We start from the raw sequence: 19,594 nt of genomic DNA on the forward strand, positions 1-19,594 counted from the left end.
GGTCTCCCAAAGTGCTAGGATTATAGGCATGAGCCACTGTGCCTGGCCAAAGTTATTCTACTTTTTAACTTGCAGTATTGTAGATAAGAAGTCTGGCTTTGTCTCACTATTTTTTTTTAATTTTAATAACCTAGTCTTTCCATTTGGAAGCTTACAACATAATTTCTATTTTTGAAAGCCAGAATTTTTTTGTTTTTTCACCGTACTCCCATCTCTAATTAATCCTGCATCTATTTAAGTGTTTTTTCACTCTATTCCTATCTCTAATTCATCCTGCTTGAGACTTCATGAGCCCTTTCAGTCTAAAATCAAGTCTTATTTAGCCTAGGGATTACTTTCTTCTAGTATTTCTTTGATTGTTTTTTGTTTGTTCCTTTTATTCTTCCTGTGACTTCTGTAATTTTAATATTAGAGTTTTTAGATTTGTCTTCTTACAGTTTTATTAATGATTTTTGGTTTCTTTGGAGTTACTTACATGATATTTATTCTAGACTACTAATTTGTTATTTTCAGTGACTTTTTCACTGCCTCTGAAATATTAAATTGAAAAATTACGGGTTTTTTCATTCTAGGAATTTTTACTGGTAAAGTTGTCATCATTGTTGCCTCCTTCCTTCCTGTCTTCCCTCATTTATTCTGTCCCTATAGTAGGTGCCTATTTAAATTTTTTGGTGTGATTCCCCCTCATCCATTCCTGCATATACTTACATAGTTAATGATCTTTCTCAGTTATATAATGTTACGAGTTACAGAATCTCTCATTACCTATGTCGGTCATACTGTTATCTTTTTTCTCAAATAGAAAAAAATAGAATGAAAGTTATTTCTCTTTTGTGAGCCTGTTGGTCAGTAGCCTGTCACACGAAGAATTTTTGTTTGAATTTGGAAATTGTTCCTTGGAGCAGGGAGAGTTTTCATTTTCATCCCAACTCTGGCTTCTTTCTGGTGCTTTCAGTGTCAGTGAGAGCAGCCTTCCTCCCTGCTCTGTTAGATTCACTTAGGTACTGCTGACTGCTTGGGCAGTTTAAGGATTAGAGGACATTGACCAAGTCCAGTGAAAAGAAATAAACCTTTTCCCAAATCAATGTGTTTTTCACCCTTTCCTTAGAACAATTAAAAAGAAAAAAAAATCCATGGTGGTACATGCTTGTAGTCTCATCTACTCTGGAGGCTGAGGCAGGAGAATCGCTTGAGCCCAGGAGGCAGAGGCTGCAGTGAGCTGAGATTGTACCACTGCACTCCAGCCCAAGTAACAGAGCAAGACTCTGTCTCAAAAAAAATAAAATAAAACAAAATAACTTCACACTTGCTGTTTCTTGATTTTCACATGGTTGGTTACATTACCTGAGGTTTCAGATGAATCTAGATTTATATTCTCCAGGATCCAGCAATTAGTCACAGTTATTTTAGTAGTTTAGGAGCAAGGTAAAGGGGATCAAGAAAGATTTCTCAGTTGTTCATGTTGCATAAGTTCTAATTTAGCCAGAGCTGCTGGTTCTTAGATACTTGATTTTTCTAAATATGTTAGAATTTTATGTTTTGCCTTAATATCTCAGGAATGGACATTTTAAATATTTTTCCTGTTCATACATACTTTTAATACTTCACCCACATATACTAATAAACATGCAAGCATTTATTGGTAAACTTGGCACATTTATATATTCAGTACTTTTTGGTTGAGTGGCTGACACGCACTTCCTGTATAAAGAAGTCAATACACTTAAAAATGTTAAAAAAAAAAAAAAAAAAAAGATCTGACTTCAGCTGAGTCACCAAAACCACAAGCAGTCAAAGTGCTCAAGTCAGTGGCAACAACAACCCATTGCTTTGGGGCATTTTCTCTGTTCATTGGCTCTTCACTTGTTGCTTGGTGTTTTCCTTAGTCTTCTGAGATCGGTTGCTTCATTAGTTGTTCAAAAAATATTTATTGAGCACTTAGAATGTGCAAAACACTATGCTGCATGCTGGGATAAGCTAAATCTACAAGGTCCCCTGCCCTCATAGAATTTACCCTGTTTCTTTAATACAGAGGTGGCAAAGGATTGGCCACATCTGACTCACAGCCATGTTTTATTTTGCTTACACAGCATCAGAAATGTTTTTTGAGCATTCACAAATGAGAATATTCATCTGAATACCTATATTTCCACCTGCTTTAATATACATCTGGCCACCCTGGGCCTTTATTTTCCCATGGCATTCTACTCGTAAAAGCAGCTGCCCCTTTTTGATAGGACTACATGTACCGGTTTGCTTCCATTCTCTAAAAATCCCTGAAACCAAGACCAAATTCAACAGGCATTTATTGTTACAATTGTACTATTCTTTTTTCTTATAAAATAGTTAAGATGAGCTGCATCTTTAGGCATCTGAGTTTGTGACCCATGCATACTGATTATAGTCAGCCTGCTAATTATCTCATAGCCTCTAGAAGAAGCAGAAGAGAAAAAGCCTTACTTACATACTTCACTTTCAACAAAAACAGTAGTAGATATGCACATTGTAATACTACTCCTCAAATTCATTCTAACAAAATGATATCGAATCCAGATTTATAAATGTAATGATAGTTCTGATGTAACATTTGATATTTATTGTTGTATGTTGTCATAGCTGTGTGAATTGGCATTTTCCAGCTTATTTCAATATTGCTGTAGTAAAATTTTGTTTACAATCAGCTAACATTTAGTGCCTTTTACACATTTTCACATTCATTAGATTTATTTTTAATCATCCGTATTAAAGACCATGTGAGATGTAGGTATTATCACTTGCAATTTATTTTATGAAAATGAGGCTCAAAGAGGTTTGTGACTTGTCCAAAGCTCAAGCCTGTTCTTTTTCCATGAGACTGCCTTCATTTGCATTATCTCCTAAGATCTTCACAAGGATCCTAAGAGACAGGTCAAGCAGGTTTTATCATTATTACCACTTAAGATTGCAGAAAACAAACTCAGACTCCCTTCTTGCGAATAATCACGTAGCTAGTGTTCAGAACATACCTGCTCTGTTCCAGGTATCTCACTAGGCATTTGAGAGGTATTATTTATTTCTACCACTACCCTGTGAGGTAGGTACTGTTATCCTGTTATATTCCATAATAAATTGGAAGAGTTGGAGTTTGAAACTAAACTGTAAATTAAAAAAAAAAAAATTGCTACGTATTACCCAGATTGCTGGACTCTTTTATTGCCACTATGAGCCTACATACATTAAAATTTAAACATTTGTCTAATTTTAAAAGTATACAGTAATAAGCTTGAAAATCAGATAAAGATATTAGCTTTGTTGTGTTTTCAGGACTGGTGCTTTTCTCTCCTAGTGATTGAATAGAAATGAACCTGAAATTTTACTTCAAAGTATACTTTATTCTATTTTGGTCTGTATTCAATAGTTCCATTTTTTTTCTTGTTCATGTAGACAACTCATTTAGGAAAATATTTGTTTAGGTTTTAACAAATCAGTGTAATTGATTTTAAGTTTTAGTTTATTGTTGATTTGTGACAATGAGAGGGCATAGGAAAATTATCTTAGTTTGATTTCATGGTTGGGAAATAACTTGGTAATCTAATAATTTCCTAGACAACTTGTGTGACTACTTGTGGCTTGTTAGGTAAATACTCAATACTTATAAAATACTTAATCCTGAGTTAGCTTTTTAAGGTAAGTTAGGAGCAAAAAGGCCCAAGAAAGCTATGTCTAGGTGTGGAATTAGTGCTCCTTTTGTATATTGTAGCTTTTAGAGTTTGTGATTTGTGTTCCATTTTATTTTAGTTACATTTTCTTGGCGAATTCACCGAATTTCGATTTCCAGAATATTCCCAAGAGTATAAACTTTTTTTAAAAAGTCATCATCAAAAGAGTAACAAATTTTATTTCCTCCTAAAGAATAGTCTTAATTTTGCATTAAGTTTCTAACAGTGCAGATGAAGAGTAGCTACATGTTTAACGATCAATTCTTAGTTACATTTAAACTAGAGAGGCATTGAAAAAGTAATTTTCAGTGGCATCTAGGCAGAGAAGCCCAGATTAATAAACGTTATTCCCATATTTTTACTGATATATTTATCTTACAGTGAAAATGGCAACTTCCCTTTGTTAAATATCATTTCTAAGCCTATTTATATTTGAGTACAGTAATAGCTCATGGATCTGTAATTGAAAGAATTAGTTAATGTTACGTTCTTTTATACGTATAAGAGATAACTTAATATCTGAAAGTATTTATTATTAAAACTTGTGAGCCCCAACTTTTTGTTCTTTGAGTAATTGCTTTTCACTAATGTTGTAAATTTTTTTAATTCTTGATTTTTCTAGGGATTATTTCACATTTCAGCTGCTTTTGTTTTCTACTGCTATCATTGAGGGTTCAAGAACAAAAAATAAGTCTTCAGGTAAAATGCCTGATCCATAATAGCGCTTGGCGTTGTATTTTGCTGAAAAGATCATATACCTGTTTGGATGCTTGATCTGAAAATAAAGTTGTGATGATTATGAAATTTTCGCATGAAGTTTCCTTGGCTGCCTAACAAATTCAGTCTTATTTGTTGGTTTGGTTTTTTGTTTTTTTTTTTAAAGAATTTTGGCTGTTTGCTTTTTTTTTTTTCCATGTCGTCTTGATCTGCAATAACTATATGGATATGTGCTTGGACCTGCTAAGTATTTTAATTTTGCATATTTGGCTGCTTGAATTTTAAGTAATTTCTTTGGACAATGCAAATTTTAAGAGCTTGAGAAGCTGTAAGTGAAATATCAAGTAACAGAAGTTTGTAACTAGTTTATAAATGTATATTCATTACCTATTATATATTTTAAGGTTTCATATTTTACCAAAATTAAATTAAAAATTCAGTTTCTCAGTTGCACAGGCCACATTTCAAGTGCTGTTTTCAGGCCATATGTGGCTAGTGGTTACCATTGTGGACAGCACAGATAAAAGATGTTTTTTCATCACCGTCCATAGTTCTATTGGACAGAGCTGTTTTAAATTGTGTAAGCAGTTAATTGTAAGGTCGTTTCAGTTATTTTATCCAGAAGATAAAGCGTGTGACCAGTCTTGAGAGTACTTCCTCTAAATATGTAGCTTGAGTATTTAAAACTTAGTTGTTTAAAACAGTCCAGTTGCTTTGGTATTTACGTTGCTTTAAAGTGAAATTGTTTCTTGTAGCAGAATTCATGAAGTAGGAAAAATGCCAAGGACTTAGTCTAAATTTGAATCCTGACCTCAGGACTTAGTAGTTTAGTAACTTCTGGTAAGTTACTTTACTTCTTTGAGCCTCAGTTTCCTTATGTGTAAAATGAAGGTAACAATAGTTACTTCATAGGATTAACATGTGACTTAAATATGTCAAAAGCACATTAAAAAGTACACGTTTTTAATCCTTTTAAAATATAGAATGAAGCCAAAACATAAATTAATTAGACAGTGTCATATGCTTGGAGTTGTTCCCAGCCTGGCAGTTATAATAGGCGCCTAAGTTCCTGGTCTTCATGGAGTTATTTGATGACATTGTTCAGGTTTGAAACAAGTGGAATACCAAGATGGAGAGAAAAAGAAATAGGAAGATGACTGACTTTGTTTTTGGAGAGGTGCATGAAGTACTATCTGATAATAACTAACATTTTGTATAGTGTTTTTTTATAACTTATAAAGTTTTTTCACACAATTCTTTAAAATTTCATCTCTAATATTTTGAGTACTTTTAACAGAAGAATAAAAGGAAACTTGAGGTTGACGAACATTTTTGTTCGTGAGAATGGAAATTCATATTAAGTTTTCAACTTTAAATCTTAGGCTCTTTCTACTTAAACAAGCTATTCTTTGATAGCAGTCGCATTTGTGAGGCAGGCATATATTTCAGAATCTCCAGGGGTGGGACTCAGGTACATATAATTTTTTGGTATATGTTGAAAATGCACCCATTGAAGTGATTCTAGTGCCCACTTCTGGTTAAAAATCGTAATCATTGCTCTTTTCCAGTCTTTTAACTTTTCTTTTCCTGTAATCAGTACATCTAAATTAATGCATAGATTACATGAATAAGACAAGGCATTAAACTGATAAGCAATGCGCTCATTTAACTTTTACTACTCTAGATGTTGAGGTATGAGCAATAACACTTTTTAAAAAGCAACATGTTTAGTTCCCTGTTGACAATCTCTTGTGTCTCCATTGATCATAGCTTGTGGAGGAGGAATCCAGACTAGCCAACTATGGTAGTTAAATCTGTGAGTGTTCCCTTCTCTGCTTCTTTAATGAGTTTTGGCTAGTTAGTAGTCTACCCCAAGATATTCCAGTTCTGAAGTGTTGACTCCTTAATCCCTGTGGGTGTTATCTTCATAAATGTTTTCAACTGATCTTTAGATTTTTAATCTTTTCCCAACTGTCTTGAAGATGCTTTAGTATCCTGGGTTTAGTGGTATTTCCAGGTCCTGTTTTTAAGTATGAATGTATCACATTACTAACAAGTCTTTCACAATTGTGAAATGTAGTTACCTATGTGAAGGCAAAAGCTCAAAACTTTCCTCTGAATGAAAGTGTCATTATAGGGGTGAGAGAGGGGACTACTCTAGCAAACCCCCAGGTAGGCAAAAATTAATCACATTCCACAGTGAATTTTCAAAACTGAAAATATTTTTAAACATACAAAGACACATTCTAGTGGAAACAAGACTTTAAAATGTGAAAATTAAGCATTTGCTATGTGAAGCTGTAATCATGAGGTTTTGAAGTCAGAGTGAACTATCTTCTAACTCAGAGTTGCTTATCAAAATGCAACTGATCAGTGGCTACAATATGTTAACATTAGCTTTTAATTTTCTGAGCAGAGATTATGTCACTAGAAGCTATTTTTAGTGGATATTAGGCTGTTTCTGCACTGAAATCAGTGTGTTCGGGATGTTTTTGTATACAGGTATACTTTTCTTGAACAGAAAATACAATTCTGAAGTACAGTTCTGATTATTTTTTATTGCTAGGGTTTAAGGGAGCTTATTTTTTAAATGACTTTAACCCAGCATTCTGAATTACACTAAAAAGATTGTTTAAACTTAGTACCTGCAAAGCATCTGAGGGATAAGTCTCGCCCCTGTCAATTTTAAAATAGCATTGTGTTCTTAAAATATGTATCATTCTGTTAATTATAGGCAGGTTGGATTTGTCTTTGTTGTACTATAAATTTTCTTATAAATAGGATAAAATGTAGACCTTTTAAAATATTCTCATCTCAAAGACTTTGAAGAGCTCTGAAAATGAGATGCGTCTAAAATCGATGTTGCATCATAGTTTGGTGGAAGCATTTTTTTTTTACTTGGTGGTATATAAAGCTAATGGTGCATATTATGACCATTGATGTTTTAGGTTTGATAAAAAGTGGTGGTTAACTTTTTGAAGGTGGTTGTGAAACTTACACTCACATAATTCTTTGATAAGAATGGTATACCTTTGTGATGAAAAAATACGTAAGTGGTGAGAATATACCATATTACTTGGAATTATAGACCTTTACCAGGTTTTTTTAGTGTCTCCTTTAGATCCTTTTTCTTTTTGTTCTCACTGCTATCAGTTAGATGCTTCACGTTAAACTTGTTCCCTATCTGAATCTCCTATTGAAAGATACTAGAACAATAAGAGAAAAATGGAGATCAAGAGAATGAGAAAAGGCATGGGGTGCAGGATGGGGTAGGAGTAGTGGGTAGGATCTCTAGGGCCAAGAGAAAAAAAAATGGGGAAAGGGAGGGCACTTCAGGGAAGTGGTAATAACATTTTCCGTTTATCCAGCTTTGCTTGTCCAGAAATCTTTACCTGCTTAAGTTTCTGACTGTAATATATTAGCTTGTGAGCTGCCCAGTAGTTAGCTCAAATCACTCCTAACGTATTCAGTCCATTCAGCTGATATAAACCCTTCTTGCTGAGGCCTTTGCTTATTCTGCAGAAGGTGCCCTGTTACCTCCTCCAGCATTCTGAGTAAATCATCTCCTGGTATCTTCTCTTATGTAGACCAAATAGAGTCTGTGTTCCTTCTTAATGTGCAGTCTCAAATGAATAATTAAAGGGAAGAACCACTTCTTATAGAATGAATTTTTCTGCAGGGTACTCTTACAGATAATGTACACAATCAAATTTGTTGGTTGGTTTTTATAGGAGGAATGGGCATATCAAACAAATACTTAACTTTAGAAAATGTCCCTGCCTTTCTGTTTCTTTCAGAATTTACGTAGAGATTGATGCAGTCTTTACCGTTTAGCATATTTGATTTTTTATTTTGAAAAGCAGTAATTTGTTTATTTATAATATAAATTCATATTGCATGTTCCTGCTTTAGCTTTCCATTCTGTAAACGAAGAACATATACTCTGGAGCAGTTTGTCCATGTTCTTCAGTAATGGCATGTTTTATTCTGCATTTAAAAAACAGTCACAAAGTAAATCTGGCTTACATACTCTATTTTAAGCAAACTGCTTTTAAAAATTAAAATTTAGCATTAGAATATAATTTAAATTTTCAGTATAAAACATGGATTGAGAGAACCTTAACATTTTTTCAAAAGGAACATTTGCATTATAAAGAGATTTACCCTTGAAGATTTTAAGCACACCATAGAGTTTTTTGTTTGTTTGTTTTTAAATACCCTGCAGATCCTTTTGGAAGCCACTCTAATTAATGCCTGGAGTAGGCTTGCCATTGTCATGGAAAAAGATTATGAAGAATTGCTGCATCCAGTTCTGAAATCCTCAGATTTCCAAAAGTCTCTTTCAGAATCTATACAAAAGTTTTGATATTCCTTTGCATTTTCTTGAGTTAAGCAACTTTTTAAAAGTCCCACATTTGGGGTGATTTCTTGAACTTACCCAATTTTATTATTTTATAATTTTTAAAATTATAATTTTATTTTCATGTCTTTTTAGCCACATTACACTGTAAAATTCTTTGAACTATCTTGGTCACACTAAAGGAAAATAAATTCATGGTACAAATAACTAGCTTATTGATAAAGTTATAGAGCAAAATCTGCCCAATTTGGGTGATTCTGTACTGTTTTTGCTTACTGTAATGCTTCAATAAAATAGAAATGAAAACGTGAGACAATGGAAGTAAAGGTAAACATTATTCAGTCATTTATGAATAGTATTTCAAATACACGTGCTGAGTTTTATGTATTTCTGGCGAAAAGATATGCCAAGTAAGGTGGAATCACAACTTTTTATCAGTTAGCATTCACGTAATTCTTTTTTCAATTTGATGGATAATTTTATTGTCCTGAATTCATTTTCTCTTTCTTCAGAGGATGTACTGAGTAAAGATGCTGGGGAATGTGCAATATGCCTTGAAGAATTGCAGCAGGGAGATACTATAGCACGACTGCCTTGTCTATGCATATATCATAAAGGGTAAGTTCACCAAGTTGGTATTAGAGTAAAAGATTGTTCTCACAGTTTCAGACATTGTAATTAGGGCTGAAAAGGAATCTTCGTTGAAACCACCCCCTCCCTGTCTCACACACACTTCTTAAAACTTAATGATCTTTTTTCTCTATTTGAACTAAGACTTGAACCCACATCTGTTTGTATCCAAAAGGCTACTATTTTTAAAGCATTTGCTATGACCCAGCTGTTGTCCATAGCTTCTTGAATAAATTATCTCATGTAAGCCTTGTAACCATTGCATTTTACAATTGAGAAAATAAGCTAAGGGACAGTATGGAATTGCCCCAAGGTTACAAGGCTAGTAAATGGCAGAGTTGAGATTCCAGTAGATTTGGAATCTGCTTGACTCCAAAACCTGTCTGCTTTCTCATATGGTCTTCTTGCTTTTAGAGTGATACAGGAAAAATTTGGGGTTAAAAAAAAAAAAGTTTAAGGTAACCACAAAAAGAAAACTATAACTTTCAACCTGATGAAAATACAGTACTTAAGTTAAGATGAGGTGGGGGAAAACTTAGAGAAAACAGAGGAAATAAAACAAAATATGGATACAAAAATATATCCAAATATATCAGTTATAATAAATACACATAGAACAAACCCACTGGTTGAAAAACAGATTGAAAGGTTGGGATAGGTAGTTGATAAACAACACATTTGAACATAAGTATACATAACATTTGAAAGTAAAAGGATAGAAAACTATATCCAGGCAAATATTAACTAAAAGAAACTACAAAGCTAAACTAGTATTAGACAAAGCAAACTTTACAGCAAAAAGCATTATTAGGGATAGAATTCCTATAGAATGACAAAAAGTATATAACATTGTATTTTTTTTTTTTTTTTTTTTTTTTGAGACGGAGTCTCGCTCTGTTGCCCAGGCTGGAGGGCAGTGACGTGATCTCGGCTCACTGCAAGCTCCGCCTCCTGGGTTCACGCCATTCTCCTGCCTCAGCCTCCCGAGTAGCTGGGACTACAGGCGCCTGCCACCATGCCCGGCTAATTTTTTATATTTTTAGTAGAAACGGGGTTTCACCGTGTTAGCCAGGATGGTCTTGATCTCCTGACCGCATGATGTGCCCGCCTTGGCCTCCCAAAGTGCTGGGAATAACATTCTATTTTTATGTATCTAATAACATCTCAAAATATTTATAAAACCCTCAGACGAAACTGACAAATTTATCATCATAATGGAACATTTCACTACGCCTTTCATTGAGTCAAGCCACATACACAAAAAATGAATCAAGACCTAGAAAAATAGAGCAATGCAGTTAAGTTTGATCTAACTGATGTGTATATGTATTTGTATCTGTGCCCATCAATTGATTAGAGAATACATATTTTTCAACCACACATGAAGTATTATAGAAATTGATCATGTCCTAGAACATAAAGCAAATCGCAGCAAAGTACAAAGAATTGGTACCATATAGGATGCTGTACACTGACTACTATTAGATGTCACTAATAAAAAGATAAATAACCCTCATACATACTTTTGAGTAACTTGTGGATCAAAGAAAAAATCATCATGGAATGAAGGAAATACTCAGAACTGAATAACAGTGATGTTTTTGGCAAGTACCTAGAGTGATCCTCACAAGGTTCATGTTACAGTAGAAAGAAAGGCTGAAAACCCAATAAGCCAAGTTTCTTACTTAAGAAATCAGAAAAGTAACAGGAGAATAAACACAAAGAAAATAGAAAAAAATAGTGAAGATCAGAGAAGAAAATAAATTTTAAAATGACACACTAGAGACCCACAGACCACCAGTTGGTTCAGAACAGGATTGTTCTGAAAAAATGAGGAATGTGAATTCAGACACAGAAGAAATTAAAAATAATGAGAAAAAACAGGCCTATAGAGACAATGTAACAATGAGTTCTACCAGATATCCAAAGAACACCATGCTAACAACCTTAGATTCTTCCAAGAAGTAGAAAAAGATGGAAGGTTCTCCCATTTATTTTATGAGAAAAGTATAAACTTGATACAAACTCAGATAAGGACAGTACAGGAAAGAAAATTAGAAAACAGTCTCATGAACATAGATATAACAGTCCAAAAACATATCAACAAACCCAACTCAACAATAAGTATCTAACAATATATATCTAAAATAATGCCTCATGACCAAGTTGCATTTATGCTAGGGAATGCAAAGAAACTGTAAGACAGAAAATGTATAGATGTAATTTACTACATTAACAAAGGAAAGAAACATTAACTCAATAAATGTGAGAAAGCTTTCAGTAAAATTCTATCCTTGCATATTAATGATTTAAAAATAAAAGCTAACAATAAATATTGGATAAATTATTAAAATTTGTGAGAGTTCAGCAGGGTTGCCAGATATGAGATCAACCTATGGAAATAAGTTGCATTCATATTGCAACAAGAAAAAAGGAAATATCTCTTAAACTATAACATTAATGTCAACAGAGACTAAAAGGACTATAAGGCTTATAAGGATTAAATTTTATAAAAGATATGTAAGACTTTAGATAAAATTTGAAAACTTTATTGAAAGATATAGGTAATCTGAAATTAATCTGGACATCTACCATATTGTGGATAGAAAGACTCAGTGTCATAATGATGTCATTTTACCTCAGATTGATCTATATAGTTAATACTACCTTAGTCAAATCTCAACTGGTTAGTTCATGTAACTTGACAAGTTGCTGCCAAAACTGCATGGGAACCAATGAGTGAAGGGCCAAGAACAGTTAAGACACTCATGAAGAAGAACACCATGTTGGTGGGACTTGTCCTGTACAGATTTATTATAAGACCATATTAATTAAGACAGTATGGAAATGGCACAGGTGAGCCAGTGGAACGGAATGGAGTCCATAAACACTTGTGCCTATCTGGAGAGACAGCATAGCATGAGAGTTAAGAGCATGGACTTTGAAGTCAAGACACTCAGCATTTGAATCCCAGCTCCTCCACTGATTCTCTGTGTGATCTTGGTCAAGTTGTTTTTTTCTCTCAAGTTAGTTTTTTTCTCTCTCGATTCATAAGATGAAGACAATAGAAACAACTTCATAGAGTATAAGGGTATAAACAAGTGCTGGCACATACATAATAGATGCTATATAAATGTTGAATAAATGAAAAAAATTGATTTGCCAGAGACGAAATTACAGTATAGGAGAGAAAGAATGAACTATTCAATAAATGGTGCTGGGATCAATTGGTTATTGATATGGAAAAACAGTTGAGTCCTTATCTTGCATTTGAAATAAAAGTCAATTCCAGGTTGACTAAATACCTGCCTCTGGAACCAAAATCTAAAGTGGTGAGGAAAGAAAATCGTGGAAATGTTTTTGACTTCTTGGTAGAGAATTATTTTTTGTCTGGGATACACTTCTCCCCAAAAAATAATTTCAAGATTGATAAATTTGGCTATATTAAAATTTAAAACTTATTTGTATCATGACCCAGCAAAAAAGTAAAAAACTAGACTTTATACTAGGATTGTTTTTCAACACACATAATAAAAGAGGTTTGGTATTGGAAATAGCGTTCTCCCTCTATGACTTTCTGTAATGCAGTGAACTCATTGCATTTGGTAAATGGGAGAGTGAAGACAATATAATAACAGGATCTTACTGGTTCTACATAAGATTTTCCAGCACATTAATGTTCTGCTTCATCAGATAACAGCAGATGAAAGTATATGCTAACAACGAGCTATATAAGAATACAGTATACCCATCTCCCCATGTTCTTACTCTTAGTTTAATTAGACCATGGGCTTTGCTGTGGAGTCCTAATATTTCACAGTTCTCACAATTTGTGCATTAGCTTTTTTCTTCATAACTCAGCAGTCTCAATCCTACCTTAATCCTCTTTCTGTAAGGCTAACTTCACCATTTTAAAAAAACGTATTTACAGTCGTGTTCTATTTATTAGGAATGAGCATGTCTTTGTTCTGGTGATAAAACTGTGTTATTTGAGTAGTCTGCCTTTAACCTGACTTTTCCCACAAGCCCTGTTACTTTAGCTTAAAGTTTTGTGGAAAGCAGTGTTTATCAAAAGCCTGTATATTATAACTGAAATACCTGGATAATAGTTTCCTAGAAAACTATCAGTTAATTCAGAAAAAAGGACCCTCAATTGGCCAATAAATAATACAAATAGGCATATTTGGTAGATAACCCTGTAATAGCTGTGTGGAGTACATATTCTACAACTCAGTAATTCCACCTCTACATATATGCCCTAGAGAAACTCTTGATCTTTTGCTCTAAGACAGTGCTACTATTCAAAGTACAAGTCCAGAAGGCAATAAAGAGTTTCTGCCAGTTAAATCAACACTATGCTTCTTTCATTGAGAAAGCCTTGCTGTGATTTTTTAAAGTCATTTGAAACAGTGTGATTAGTGAGGAAATTAACTTGTATTTGGGCGCAAACTCCTTATCTCAAAGAATGTTCATAGCATCATTGAAAATGTCCATCAGTGAAAGAATGTATATGTAAATTGTTTATATTTATATAATGGAATGTTGTACACAATGAAAATGTAAAAACAGGCCAGGCGCAGTGGCTGACACCTATAATCCCAACACTTTGGGAGGCTGAGGTGGGTGGATCACCTGAGTTCAAGACCAGCCTGACCAACATGGTGAAACCTTGTCTCTACTGGAAAAAAAAAAAAATTAGCTGGGTTTGTGGCAGGTGGCGCCTGTAATCCCAGCTACCCAGGAGGCTGAGGCAGGAGAATTGCTTGAACCCGGGAGGCGGCAGAGTTTGCAGTGAATTGAGATGTTGCCACTGCACTTCAGGCTGGGCGACAGAGCAAGACTCCGTCTCAAAAAACAAAAAGCGAAAATGTAAAAGCAAGAGACTTACTAACAATTGCAAATCTCAAATTGAGCAAAAAAAGCAAGTTACAAAAAGCATAATGCTGTTTTATGGTAGCATTTATATAAAATTTTAAACATGGAAGCAGTACTATATGTTGTTTTAGAATATACACATATATAGTTATATAGAGTAAGAAGATGCCTAGAAATGAAAAATACCAAATTGAGAATAGTGCTTTCCTGCTAGGTCTGAGAGAAGGGAATATAATCATGTAAATAACAAATGAATATAGCCTAGAATGGAACATATGTAGATTGACAGACGTTTATGTGAAGAGGACCTGGAGTTTTAAATGATTACTTTCTCATGATGAGCCAGAGTTACCTGGTTGTAAAATAAGGAGTACTCATGTTAGCTCGCAAATAGATACTATTCAGATATATTATGAATTAACACATCTGGAGTATTTTATTTGATGCTCAGAATTTTGTTTTAAGAGGTTTTCTGGTAGACACAGTGGAACTTCCAGGGCCAAGTGGTAGAGAGCAGGCTGAAAACAATGTCTTAAGCCAAACTGGCTATATATTTCGAGAACAAAAGTCTTAATGGCAGCTGAAATTCAGATATTTGAAAGAACCTGTTGATGTGGTACTCTACCTTTTTTCTTTTTAGTTTCATCTTATCACTTTTACCTACCAAACCAACCTATCTGGACATGAGGATGATAAATGTTAATTTTGCCCTTCAGTATATTAACCAAGTCTTGTAGCTTTGCGGCATATGCAAATTTGAAATATGTCACCAATGAAAATGTTGAACAGGTTGAATCCTGCTTGGATAACTTGCTAGCTGTTAGGCAAGTAATAGCTAGTTAGTAGACCTTGATTTTTTCACCTATCATGGTACTGTGAAATAGAACTTTCTACCATAATGGAAATGTTCTATATCTATGCTGTCCCCTAGAGTAGTCGTGAGCCATGTTGCTGTTGAGTGCTTGAAATGTGGCTAGTGTGACTGAGGAACTGGATTTTTTTATTTTATTTCAATAAATCTTAAATAACCAGTGTGTGGCTCTTGTCTACTCTGTTGGACAGTGCAGATCCACAATGACGATGATCATATGCACCCTAATATTTAGCTTCTAATAAAATAAGATCATAAAATACTTCCTAAATACAAATGATTAATGTATATTTATTTGTGTATGTATATGTATTACATGGTGGGATAGGATTTAAATATTCAATAATCACATATAAATATAGCTTTAAAAATGAAATATTGGCAAGGATTAAAATTTAAAAGCCGTTTTTTAATACATTTATAGGTGACATGAACAGGTTGATAATGTGCATAAATGAATAACTGTTTTGAAAAGAAAAATTATGCAAATTTGTTATTCAGTTTTGAATATTGGTAAAGTGGTAGTTCAGATTATCTTTTGGAAGTAGTTCTGTTTGAACTTTAAAGTACTTTATAGCATAATTTTGCAAAGGTTTTTTTCTTAATCGCTTAGAATCAAAATATAATAAACATTCTTATCTGTTGCTTATGTATGCCAAATATAATTTAAAATGCTCATTTTTTTCTGTAAAAAATATATTAAAGTCAAGTATTTTTACTGTGGCTCTCATTATATAAATAATTAGTATAAGTATCTCAATTTTTCTGGTTTTGTTCCTTTCTAGCTGCATAGATGAATGGTTTGAAGTAAATAGATCTTGCCCTGAGCACCCTTCAGATTAAGCGTCAGCTTCCTGTTTTATAGGTAATTTTTTTTGTAATTACTTTTTAAAGCGTTAGCCCAAATTATACATTCTAAACTATAATTTTTATTTATTCATTTACTCATTGAGGTGCATGAGTGTGTATGTGTATGTTTCAGACACTTAGGCTACTGCATAGAAAACTTACATTAAAAATATTGTATAATTCTAATTGTTGGCTGGGTATGCTGGCTCGCGCCTGTAATCCCAGCACTTTGGGAGGCCTCAGGCAGGTGGATCACTTGAGGCCAAAAGTTCAAGACCAGCCTGGCCAACATGGTGAAACTCTGTCTCTACTAAAAATACAAAAATTAGCCAGGCTTGGTGGTGCACACCTGTAATCCGAGCTACTCGGGAGGCTGAGGTACAAGAATCACTTGAGGCTGGGCATGGTGGCTCACACCTGTAATCCCAGCACTTTGGGAAGCCGAGGCGGGCGGGTCACGAGGTCAGGAGATTGAGACCATCCCTGGCTAACACGGTGAAACCCCGTCTCTACTGAAAATACAAAAAAAAATTAGCCAGGCCTGGTGGCGGGTGCCTGTAGTCCCAGCTGCTTGGGAGGCTGAGGCAGGAGAATGGTGTGAACCCAGGAGGTGGAGTTGGCGGTGAGCTGAGATCGTGCCACTGCACTCTAGCCTGGGCGACAGAGCGAGTCTCCTTCTCAAAAAAAACAAAAAACAAAAGAGAATCACTTGAACCCAGGAAGTGGAGGTTGCAGTGAGCCGAGATCATGCCACTGCACTCCAGCCTGGGTGACAGAGCAAGACTGTCTCAAAAACAACCAAACCAAAAAATAATAATTCTAATCATTTAGTATTATCATGTGCCAGGTGTTGTTGTAAGCATTTTACATCTATTAGTAACTTGTCTAATTGTTACAATAACCGTTTTGAGCTCAGTACCATTACTGTTCCTATTACGCAGATGAAGAAATTAAGTATAGAGAGGTTAAGAAACTTGACTTTTCAAGTTCAGATAACTAGTTTGTTGGTGGGGATGAAATTTGAACCCAGGTATTCTGGTTCCAAAGACTGTTCTTAGCAATTTTGCTCTTTTTAGGTAGGAACATTTTCTTCAAACAGTCGCATCATAAATTTATTCATTCAATTTAATCATTCACTTTTATATCTTTAGCATGTAATACAGTGCCTGTCTATATAGTAGGCAAAAAATAAAGTTGCATTTTACGACTGAAAAAAAAACTAGTTTTGTTCTACTGATTTAAGTTTTTCATGGTTCTGCATTATCTGAAAATGTTTAGTGAATTGAATGCTGACCTCAATTGGGTATTTTCATAGGGCTTTTTTTTTTCACATTTCACAAGTGCATTAAATTGACATCATTTAGCTTTGAAAAAATAAAGGTTAACTTAATTGCTATCTTCAAATATATGAAAAGCTTTTATGAAAAGACTTGGAGAGATGATATAAAGCATTGGATTGTTATATCAAGGCAGAGCATTTTAGCTAATCCTAGAATTGTTTCAGGAGTGAGAGTCTCTTTGTTCAGGGACTCAAGACAGTAACAGCCGGCTTTTCTAGGAGGCTGAGACTGATGGCAAGGAACTAGACCAGATGACGTCCAGAGGTCTAGTCCTGTGTGGTACCATTTCCTTTTATTTCAATAACTTCTCTTAAATTTGAGAATAAAAGTGTTGAGGTAATAAACACCCTCAAGGAATTCTGTTGCTGTATTGGTGGAAGATGATTTAAGAGTAGCAGATTAGAATATTGACAGAGAAGATTTGAGATAATAGCAGCAATAGCACCTGAAATGAGAACTGCAGTTGAGTGTCATAAGACTACGCATGTGCATGTGAAATGTGGAAGCCTTGGTAGACTGCAGAGTACTAAAAGACTGCCAATTTTAACCTTTCCTGTGAACTTACTTAGATCATGCCTTGACACATTTAAAATATGAATTGAGGCTGAACACTAATTGCTTGAGATAAGGAGTTTGAGGCTGCAGTGAGCTATGAACACACCAGTGCACTCCTGCCTGGGTGACTTAGCAAGTCCCTGTCTAAATAAATAAATAAATAAAATGTGAATGGAAGTAAGAATGCTAGGTAAGAGAAGTATAGTGGTGGAGTGGTATTTTGAATATATGTGCACATATGTTTTTATTTCACCATAGAAAAGGTTTGGAATGCCTTCATTGTCACCTTATGTTTGAGACAAAACGAAACTGTGGCTAAAATTATAGAAGCATTTTAAGGGAAGTACTGAAACTGATGCTAACAAAATGAAATTTTTGTCTTAGTATTTTACATGCCAAAGTAATACATCTAAATCCTTCATCTATAGATAAAATTTGTCTTTTTAGTCTTTCTTAGTGCATTTTGGGCTGCTATAACAAAATACCTTAGATGAGTAATTTATACATGACAGAAATTTAGTGCTCACAGTTCTGGAAGCTGGGAAGTCTAAGATCAAGGTTCCAGCCAGTAGATCTGGTGTCTGATGAGGGCTCATTGCTCATTTATGGCACCTTCTGTGTGTCCTCACGTGGTGGGATAACAGACTCCCTCAAGCTTCTATAAGGATACTAACTGCATTCATGTGGTCAGAGCCCTCATCACCTAATCATGTCCCAAAGGCCCCACCTCTTAATACTATAGCACTGCAGATTAGGTTTTAACATAGCAATTTTGGGAGTACACAAACATTTAGACCATAGAGCTGATAAGCTTTTTTTTTTTTTTTTTTTTTTTTTGGTGAGGTGGAATTATATTGTATAAATTTTTTTTCTTTCATCAGCTAAATTTTTCCTTTAGTGTCACAGTGAGCTTATGGGATATGTGGAGCATACATCTCATCTCATAGCTGAAATGCATATGTCTGTTGGTCTTCAACAACATTTCCATTTTCTTATGTTACATATGAGTGTTATATTTGCTTATTTGTTTGTTTTCGAATATAGAACCTGAATTTGAAACTAGCCTACTACATGGGCAGGGTGAACTCTGTTAATCAGGTGTCTACAGAAATCTGAACCAATGGAGTCTGCTTCTGTGGGTCTTGAAGAGTCATTTTTAAGAGTTTATAGACATGGAATATCTTGACTTGTACATTTTTGCTTCTGTCCTGACTGTTCTTATTTATCAAGTGATAAATTCTTGTATACCTTTTAATAGTCCTAGATTAAAGGTATATGGGTTTGAGGAGGATTCAGTGTTGTTAAAACATTTTGTAAGGCACTGTGTAGCCATAAAGCTCAACGTTTCTGATATCCTTCAGCATAAGAATTTAATAATCAACCCAAAATAGAGAGACATGAATATTTGTGGTCTTGATTAGTTAGAAAATTGCTGTACTTATTTTGGGGTTTTTAGTTATTTGGGAGAAATATTTTAAATCTCCGTGTGTGTGCATTCTTTACTTGCGTGTAGTCCTTATTGTGAAAGGGGGATGACTTTGTTATGTATTTTTTGTGACTAAACTTTAATTGATCCTTCTGTTTCTTAATCTGTTCTTCTCCAGATCACTGATTTTATGAGTTTTCAGAATAGTAAGTAAGGGTATGAAGACTTACAGTAACTAAAGCAATGTTCATGGGGAAATCTATTTTTACACAG

At 34.3% G+C, this 19,594-nt stretch overlaps 1 protein-coding gene across 3 annotated transcripts in view, besides 1 other annotated feature; it reads left to right on the forward strand.

Moving 5' to 3' along the window:
• ZNRF2 (zinc and ring finger 2) overlaps positions 1–19,594 on the forward strand; it is an 83,093-nt gene that overhangs the window by 61,844 nt on the left and 1,655 nt on the right. The window contains exons 3-5 of one of the 3 annotated variants that reach the window (XR_007059991.1): positions 4,321–4,397; positions 9,288–9,393; positions 15,937–16,016. Coding sequence is in view for 2 of the 3 variants with exons in the window: in XM_047420048.1 (XP_047276004.1) it covers positions 9,288–9,393; positions 15,937–15,994 (164 nt within the window). In the remaining variant the exon portion in view is untranslated. Of the gene's footprint in view, positions 1–4,320; positions 4,398–9,287; positions 9,394–15,936; positions 16,017–19,499; positions 19,565–19,594 lie in introns of those variants that run through there. The other 2 variants (XM_047420048.1, NM_147128.4) reach the window with 2 other exon arrangements.
• Positions 1,713–2,007: a silencer, noted in NCBI's record as "tiled region #6335; HepG2 Repressive non-DNase unmatched - State 7:EnhWF, and K562 Repressive DNase unmatched - State 5:Enh". NCBI's record gives its function as "represses a minimal TATA promoter and a strong SV40 promoter by Sharpr-MPRA in HepG2 and K562 cells {active_cell/tissue: HepG2 | K562}" and the evidence as "EXISTENCE:reporter gene assay evidence [ECO:0000049][PMID:27701403]".

The sequence above is a fragment of the Homo sapiens genome, chromosome 7 (genome assembly GCF_000001405.40).
Source record: "Homo sapiens chromosome 7, GRCh38.p14 Primary Assembly".
Taxonomy (NCBI): domain Eukaryota; kingdom Metazoa; phylum Chordata; class Mammalia; order Primates; family Hominidae; genus Homo; species Homo sapiens.